This window comes from Homo sapiens, chromosome 1, assembly GCF_000001405.40.
Source record: "Homo sapiens chromosome 1, GRCh38.p14 Primary Assembly".
Classification (NCBI taxonomy): domain Eukaryota; kingdom Metazoa; phylum Chordata; class Mammalia; order Primates; family Hominidae; genus Homo; species Homo sapiens.
In genome coordinates, this window is record NC_000001.11 from 157,701,432 (window position 1) to 157,711,468 (window position 10,037).

The following is a 10,037-nucleotide window of genomic DNA, read 5'->3' on the forward strand; positions in this document are numbered from 1 at the left end:
GCCACCCCCTTTTTCCATGAAAATTTAATACCACAAATATACTATGTATGTGTTTATGTGCTGCATGTATAGCTGTGTTTGATACATTAAAAAATTAGTTTTTTTCATCTTCCCAAGAGTCAATTCTTGCCCCTTTGAAGGTGATATAACTTCTGTTAGGAAGGCGTGTTTTAGACTTAGAGGTAAGCCATTCTTGGGAATCTACCTACCAGGATAAAGTTGTCATCATTCAGATACCTTTACATTAGAAATGGGAGATGATCTCAGATCAAATGTCCCATCCTCAGGGTGCCCAACCTTGGCAGGTAATGGAAAGAGGGTCCTCTTTTTTAACAAATATTATTATGTTCTTTCTCCCATGGAAGTCACCAAATTTTATCATTCTCTATATGTTTATGTGATTGTATAATGCCTATTTTTCTCATTAGATAGTATTACAAGGTTTGGGAACAAGCCTGGTTTGTTCTTCATTTTGTTTCAATGCCTAACAGAGCACTTGTCACATACCAATTTGTCAATAAGGACTTGCCAAATGAACGACCAACAAACAGTAAGGAACAGGATGACAATAGAAGAGGATTGGATGTGTTTCAATGTGTGCTTAGTCATTCCTGGTTAGAGATTTCTCCAATATTCTGGAGAAGATATATTGGTTATATCAATTTATTTAAATTAAATTAAATTATTTATTTAAACTATACCCAGTTAATCCACACTACAGGGTCTTTGTAAACTTGTAATTGTAGAGTATGGTGCCACATCTACTGAGAGGTATTCTCTGACCTCCCACATTTGGGCTGGGTGTTCCTCTCATGTGCATCAATAACACTTGGATTTCCTTCACTCCAGAACCGATCACAGTGAACTGAAACATCCTGTCCCTTTGATGGTATTCCTCAATGATCTAAGTATCTTTAGGGAAGGGAGCGGTTAGGGCTTATTTTTTATTTCTCTGAGGACAGCATGCTCATCAACAAAAGGAAGGTTCAGTGGGATATGGATAGCTTCGAGATTCAGTGTGTCATTTCAGACTAATTCAAAATATGAATAAACCTCAAATATACTTCATGCTCAAAGGTGACGATGTTGTTGATGACTCTGAAGTATTGTTTCCTGTGGTTGGAAAGATATGCTCAGAAAAGAGTATTTTGAATTTAATTGCTCATCTGTAGCCAAAAATGTTACATTTTTCTACGTCTCTCTCTGAAGACAGGAACTATGTCATATTCACATTATTCTAGCACCTAGCACAGTGCCTAACACTCAGTAGAGGATTGCCAGATAAAATGCAAGGGTCTCATTTAAATTTGTATTTCAAATAAAAAACAAATAATTTTTACTATAATTATGTTCCATACAATACTTGGGATATGTATGAGTTCGTTTTCATGCTGCTGATAAAGACGTAACAAGACTGGGCAATTTACAAAATAAAGAGGTTTATTGGACTTACAGTTCCACATGGCTGGGGAGGCCTCACAATCATGGCAGAAGGCAAGGAGGAGCAAGTCACATCTTACATGAATGGCAGCAGGCAAAGAGAGAATGAGAGCCAAGCGAAATGGGTTTCCCCTTATCAAACCATCAGATCTCGTGAGATTTACTCACTACCAGAAGAACAGTATGGAGAAAACTGTCCCCAGGATTCAATTATTTCTCACTGGGTCCCTCCCACAACACATGGGAGTTATGGGAGTACAGTTCAAGATGAGATTTGGGTGGAGACATGGAGCCATATCAGGATATAATTGCATTTAAAAAGTAGTCACTGTTTATCTGAAATACAAATGTAACTAGGAGTCCCATATTTTTATTTGCTAAATACGCCAAATCTAATTGAACAGAATAACTTTTCATTTGCCTGAATATATTAATGAATGGTTGTGTTGGGGGGACATCTATTTTCTTCCATGTGCATGCAACTCCTACTCCTGTTCCTCCTTCTGCTCCTTAACTCACTCCATCCTGGAAGAAGTGACGTGCCTTATGTGATCAGTAAATTTGGGAAGAATAATTGAGTCATGATAAACTTATTATTATTATTACTATAATTTTTTGAGAAAGAGTCTCACTTTGTTGCCCAGGCTGGAGTGCAGTGGCACAATCTCGGCTCACTGCAAACTCTGCATCCTGGATTCAAGCGATTCTGGTGCCTCAGCCTCCCGAGTAGCTGGGACTATAGGCACGTGCCACCACGCCCAGCTAATTTTTGTATTCTTAGTAGATACTGGGTTTCACCATGCTGGCCAGGATGGTCTCGATCTCCTGACCTCATGATCCACCCACTCGGCCTCCCAAAGTGCAGGGATTACAGGCATGAGCCACCGCACCTGGCCCCATGCTAAACTTAACTCCATGCTCTTCCCCCTGGATGCAACTCTACTGGCAGAAGGGTTTATGAACAAGTATACGCCTTCCCCTGTGTGGAGATTTAAGTGGGGAGGGAGTGAGGGAGTCTAAAGTTCCAGAGCAAATTTTCAGAGACACAAACAATTGGGGCATGGGTTTAGATGTAAAAGAACTAAAAACAAAAGAACAAATGTATGAGAGCTATATATTTACAAGGAGAGGCTTTTGGTGGGAAGAGATCCTGTCATTCTCAGCCTTGGGATTTGTTTAGTAAGAGAGACGGGCATTTTCCAGATTGTAGAGGCCTATTCTGAGCCACCTTTTATACTTAACTACTGAGCCTGGGCAAGATGCTTGCAGTCTTAGGGCATATGGTTTTGTGACACGACTTGTGGTGGCTTTGTTCATAGGTCAGTGGTTGTTTCTATAGAGGCAGGACTGTACCCATGAATGTCAATAAGCAAAAGGCACAAGAAACTTGTGAGGGCCTTCAAGATTGCTGCGAAGCCCTTGTAAGCAGGGACAGACAAGGCAAGGGCTTACGTATGGGCAGTAAGTGCTTGGAAGGACACAAGTGCTGCCTGGCAACAGAACTTTGGGGGCTGCAAGATGGTTCAACAGAGGCCCACAGTAGGCACAGTCACATTTTCTAGGTAGTCATAGCTGAAGCAGATAGTCTTTTGTTTTGTTTTTTTTGGGGGGAGGGAGGGGCAAAAATAGAAATCTCTAAAGCATTTTTAGGCACTGGTGACTGGAATAATATTTTTGGCTCCAAGATTCCTTGTATGCTACAAAACACCAATGAGAATCTAGTTTTAAATTGCTAGAATGAAGCCTAGAAAAGCTTCCCATGTCTCAGTCACCCCAAATCTCACCCTGCTTTCAGGTCCAAGCAGCAAACTGGATGGATTACTCTTGAATTCATGTGGCATTCTCTTGGCTCAAGGGTGGAAAACATTTAAACAATTACTGACATGATTACATAGTTATTGTAGGTGGCTTAATTTTTTAATTCTTTCATATACAGATGGGGCTGTGCTCCCCAGACTGGTCCTGAACTCCTAGACTCAAACAATCCACCCACCTCTGCCTCCCAAAGTGCTGGGGCTCCAGGTGTGAGGAAACACACCTGGTCAGTTATATTTTCTAACTGAACTAAATGTAAGTACAAGGTGAAAATATTCCCTAGGAGACAGTCTTCTTAGGCCAGTACAATTCCATATCAAGCAGAGGTTGGTCTGCTCACTTGAGAGAGTAGATGCTGTGTCACATAAGAGGTCCCTCACTGAATTCAGAGCTGAGGTGTCAGGAGCACTTCACTCAAAGAGGAAGTGAAAATCAAGATGCTTTGAATAGATTCAATGGAAAAGAAAGACACAAAATGTTATTTTAACATAGGTTCCTTCAATGTCTAGTTTATTGAGAGGTTTTAACATGAAGAGATGTTGAATTTTATTGAAGGCCTTTTCTGCATTTGAGATAATCATGTGGCTTTTGTCTTTAGTTCTGTTTATGGGATGAATCACATTTATTGATTTGCATATGTTGAACCTTGCATCCTAGGGCATAAGAAACCCACAGCCAATATCATACTGAATGAGCAAAAGCTGGAAGCATTCCCCTTGAAAACCGGCCCAAGACAAGGATACCCTCTCTTACCACTCCTATTCAACATAGGATTGGAAGTTCTGGCCAGGGCAATCAGGCAAGAGAAAGAAATAAAGGTATTCAAACAGGAAGAGAGTAAGTCACACTATGTTTGTTAGCAGATAACGTGGTCCTATATCTAGATAACCCCATCATCTCAGCTCAAAAGCTTCTTAAGCTGATAAGCAACTTCAGCAAAGTCTCACGGTACATAATCAAAGTGCAAAAATCATGAGAATTTCTATACACCAACAGTAGACAAGCAGAGAGCCAAATCATAAATGAATTCCTACTCACAATTGCCACAAAAAGAATAAAATACCTAGGAATACAGCTAACAAGGGAAGTGAAGGACCTCTTCAAGGAGAGCTACAAACCACTACTCAAGGATAGCAGAGATGACACAAAGAAATGGAAAAACATTCCATCCTCATGGATAGGAAGAACTGATATCATGAAAAAACAATTTATAGATTCAATGCTATGCCCATTAAATTACCATTGACATTCTTCACAGAATTAGAAAAAAAAATTTTTTTAATGTGTGTGGAACAAAAAAGAGTCCAAATAGACAGGACAATCCTAAACAAAAAGAACAGACCTGGAGATATCACACTACCTGACTTCAAATTATACTACAAGACAACAGTGACAAAAAAGCAAGGTATTGGTATAAGAACAGATACATAGACCAATGGAACAGAGTACAGAGCCCAGAAATAAGACCACACACCTAAAACCATCTGATCTTTGACAAACCTGACCAAAACAAGCAATGGGGAAAGGATTCGCTATTTAATAAATGATGCTGGGAGAACTGGCTAGCCATATGCAGAAAATTGAAACTGGACCCCTCCTTTCACCATATACAAAAATTAATTCAAGATGGATTAAGAACTTAAATGTAAAACCCAAATCTATAAAAACCCTAGAAGAAAATCTAAGCAATACCCTTCAGGACATAGGCGCAGGCAAAGATTTCATGACAAAGACACCAAAAGCAATTGCAGCAAAAGCAAAAATTGACAAGTGAGATCTAATGAAACTAATGAGCTTCTGCTCAGCAAAAGAAGCTATCATCAGAATGACCAGACAACCTACAGAATGGGAGAAAATATTTGCAATTTAACCATCTGACAAAGGTCTAACATCCAACATCTACAAGGTACTTAAACAAATTTACAAGGGAAAAAAATAAAAAACAACCTCATTAAAAAGTGGGTAAAGGACATGGACAGACACTTGTCAAAAGAAGATATATATGTGACCAACAAACACATGAAAAAAAGCTCAACACTACTGATCATTAGAGCAATGCAAATCAAAGCTACAATGAGATACCATCTCACACCAGTCAGAATGGCTACTATCAAAAAGTCAAAAAACAACAGATACTGGCAAGGTTGTGGAGAAAAAGGAAAGCTTATACCCTGCTGGTGAGAGTATATATTAGTTCAATCATTGTGGAAGACAGTGTTGTGATTCCTCCAAGACCTAGAGGCAGAAATACCATTTGATCCAGCAATCCCATTACTGGGTATATACCCAAGGGAACATAAATCATTTGATTATAAAGATACTTGCATGCATATGTTCATTGCAGCACTATTCACAATAGCAAAGACATAGAATCAATCTAAATGCCCATCAATGATAGACTGGATAAAGAAAATGTGGTACATATACACCATGGAATACTATGCAGCCATAAAAAGGAACAAGATTATGTCCTTTCCAGGGACATAGATAGAGTTGGAAGCCATTATTCTCAACAAACTAATGCAAGAACAGCAAACGAAACACTGCATGTTCTTGCTTATAGGTGAGAGCTGAATGATGAGAACACATGGACACATAGAGGGAAACAGAACACACTGGGGCCTGTTGGAGGGTGGGGGGTGGGAAGAGAGAGAGCATCAGGAAAAATAACTAATGAATACTAGGCTTAATACCTGGGTGATATCATCTGTACAACGAATTCCCATGATGCATGTTTACCTATGTAACAAACTTGCACATCCTACACATGTACCCCTGGAATTCAAATAAAAGTTGGGGAAAAAAGAAAAGAAACCACTCAATTACAAAGTAGGGCATCCTCAGAAAGCAGGAGAAGGAATGCTGCTACCTCATGTGCGATGCTTGCTTATACAGGACATTAAAGCTAAGAATAGTGTACTTTATTATAAAGGCTTGTGATCAGCCTGTGACAGGCTATAAGTATTTTTTTGTTGCTATGTAATTTTTGATTTCAGTAAGAATTTACAGGTGTACTACTATCTTTGAAGTGAAACTTATTCTTAAACTAAAAATGCTTTCTGTTCTTAAAAAAAAGGCACAAAATTAATGGTTCCCACCCATCCTTAAAATAGTAAATGCTTTTAGTGTCAACGTTAACCTTGTGAGTGCTGTGAGTTTCCTCACAACTAAGTTTAAGTTTAAAGGCTCTGAGTCCACTGGCATCAACTGGCACCAACTGACTGGCATTCTGCGAAGCTAAACAATGAATTTCTTTATCTACTTTTCTTTCTTCATATGTGAATGAATCTCCATCAGGGTCTGTAGAGACATTAAATAAGGGTTCTAAGAGTGTAAGCCTGCTTAGTATTATTGCTCTAGAATTGGGGGTTGGCTTTCTAGAATTCAGTGGCTACGGGGCCTGTGCTGTGATAATCTTTTATCCCCTATTAATCCTTTGAACTTGTTAAAACTGTGGCTCATGAGAGTCTTGGCACTGAACCAACACAATCTCCAAGGTTCTGAAAGAAATGATTCCATTCAGCTGTGAGACAGTACAGACAGCAATTGCTTAAACAAACTTAGCTTCATCCAGACATTGAGAACTTACACTTAGTTGAGATTAAGCAGAATATAATAAATTGGGGGTCAGAGGTTACTTTAAGTTCTTAAAGACAATTTGATTTAAGGCTTTAGTTTATTTGGATTTTACTGTGTCTGGAATTTTTCCTACAAAACGATTTAATCTTTGAACTTCAATTTCTTCCTAGGGATATTAACAAGGGGAAAAAAAGGCTTGTAGTAAAAATTTGTGGCATCTCGACATTGTTATAATTTTGCTATTGGAGGATCTCATTGTTTAATCTTATTGCAGAACCTCTGAACTGCTTATCAGACTTAATTTGGCATGAAAAATATAGAGCAAAATTTTAGCCTTGGATTCCAATAGATATTTGTGTTATATAGCTAACATATGTTTCTGAATTTTCTTGAAAAATTCTACACCACTGCCCACCAGTGGTCCCATGAGGATACCCACAAGGGCAGGGTTTGTCCTGGGGAGAAGCTTTGTGAACATGGGTGACAACTTTCGGAAATTCTGATAGCTACTGTTGGCAATATAAAGAGAAATGAGATAGGATCCCTAAAAAAAGAAAGTATACAAGATTTTATGAAGAGTGATAGATATGATAAAGTTGTATACACAAATTTCCATGTGAAAACCAAATATGAAATAAGTACCTTATTAAACAAGGTAGTAACATGATATAAATGTCAAAGAAAAGGTTCCACATGAGTGGAGAGACGAAAGAAAGTCATAGACATTGCACGAAACCCAAGTCGTCAGAGTCGGAGTCATACTCCAAGTCGTCGACGAAGGTCTAGTTCTGTGGGTAGAAGAAGGAGCTTTAGCCTTTCCCCAAGCCGCCGGAGCCACACCCCCAGCCGCCAGAGAAGATCAAAGTCTGTGGTAAGAAGACGAAGCTTCAGTATCTCACCAATCAGATTAAGGCGATCAAGAACACCCTTGAGAAGAAGGTTTAGCAGATCTCCCATCCGTCGTAAAAGATCCAAGTCTTCTGAACAAGGCAGACCATCCAAACGTCTAACAGATTTGGATAAGGCTCAATTACTTGAAATAGCTAAAGCTAATGCAGCTGCCATGTGTGCTAAGGCTGGTGTCCCTTTCCCGCCAAACCTAAAGCCTGCACCTCCACCTACTATAGAAGAGAAAGTTGCTAAAAAGTCAAGAGGACCTACTATAGAAGAACTAACTGAGAAATGTAAACAGATCACACAGAGTAAAGAAGATGATGATGTAGTAGTGAATAAACCTCATGTTTTGGATGAAGAGGAAGAAGAACCTCCTTTTTATCGTCATCTCTTTAAACTCAGTGAACCCAAACCCATTTTTTTCAATCTGAATATTGCTGCAGCAAAACCAGCTTCACCAAAAAGCCAGGTAACCTTAACAAAAGAATTCCCTGTATCATCTGGATCTCAACATTGGAAAAAAGAAGCAGATAGTGTTTATGGAGAATGAGTTCCTGTAGAGAAAAATGGTGAAGAAAACAAAGATGATGATAATGTTTTCAGCAGCGATTTGCCCTCAGAGCCTGTGGACATCTCTACAGCAATGAGTGAACGGGCACTCGCTCAGAAAAGACTCAGTGAGAATGCATTTGACCTTGAAGACATGAGCATGTTAAATAGAGCTCAGGAAAGGATTGATGCCTGGGCTCAGCTGAACTCTATTCCTGGCCAGTTCACAGGAAGTACAGGAGTACAGGTTTTGACACAAGAACAGTTGGCCAATACTGGTGCCCAACCTGGATTAAAAAGGATCAGTTCTTAAGAGCAGCCCCGGTAACTGGAGGAACGGGAGCCGTTTTGATGAGGAAAATGGGCTGGAGAGAAGGAGAAGGATTAGGAAAAAACAAAGAAGGCAATAAGGAACCCATCCTAGTTGATTTTAAGACAGACCGAAAAGGTCTTGTTGCAGTAGGAGAAAGAGCAAAAAAGAGGTCTGGGAACTTCTCTGCTGCAATGAAAGATCTGCCAGGCAAACATCCTGTGTCTGCTTTGATGGAAATCTGAAATAAGAGAAGGTGGCAACCACCTGAATTTCTATTGGTCCATGATAGTGGCCCTGATCATTGCAAACGTTTTCTCTTTAGGGTATTGAGAAATGGAAGCCCTTACCAGCCCAGTTGTATGTTTTTCTTGAATAGGGATTGATAAATGGAAGTGCTTACCAGCCCAACTTTGCCAGCCTTAATAAGAAGCATGCTAAAGACACAGCAGCTACTGTGGTTCTTCAAGCAATGGGCCTTGTACCAAAGGACCTCATGGCTAATGCCACCTGCTTCAGGAGTGCCTCACATAGATAGATTGAGGTTTTATAATAATCATTTCAGATAATTTTACTCTGCCTCACAATGTGTTTCCTCTTTAATGTTGTAAATATTTGGCAATTTAAGACATTGTGTAAAAAGCAATCTGTAGAAACATCTCCAGGCTTTGATTTTTGTACCATGGAAATTGTATTTAACCATACAGGGTTTTGGTATGTTTATATTGTTTATCTTAGTGATGTATTTGTTTAAGTGGCTAACATCCAAACGATTGTTTGAAGGCATTAGAGTAATCTTCAGTGTGGAATGTTAAATAACGCTTTTATACTGTATTTTGTACTATGATGTAACTCCCCTTCCTTATGGCTAGCCTACTGTAACACTTGCCTGTAATCAGTGAAGGGCTGTGCACCTTGTACTATTTCACAGTGGGTTCTGCTGGACAGATACTGGCCCAGTGTTATTGAGGTGATCAAGCAAGAGCTGTTCCACAGGGCTAAAGCAACCATCTCCCCTCAAAATTTTGTAGAGGTTCTAAAAAGAAAGGGTATGAGGTGTGATGATCAGCACTAAGTCCTGCATTCCTGTTAAAGCCACTTGGGTCATAAGAAGGGAGTAAAAAATGAAGTCTGAGTAGAATTCTACTATTGCTGAGGCCAAGTACATTTAGTATGGCATCGAGTTGTGATATAGTTTTACTTTGATGTGCATTTTGAATTTCAGCTACACCTAGATAGACATAAAATGATAATTAAAATGCTGTAACCAACTTATCTAATAAAATTGGCAACCAGCCACTATTCTGTTGACTATGAGAAAGTTAAAGTTTATGTTAATTTTTAGGGTCTGATAGGATATTTCATGTGTATTACAGTGGTATTCATATGCTATGTTTCTAAACTTTATTTTCAAAAGCTTAAGGCCCAAATACTAACTTCTCTGGAATAA

General features: G+C 39.1%; 1 pseudogene; it reads left to right on the forward strand.

Annotated features, from left to right (window-relative positions):
• SONP1 (SON pseudogene 1) lies at positions 7,853-10,037 on the forward strand (annotated as a pseudogene).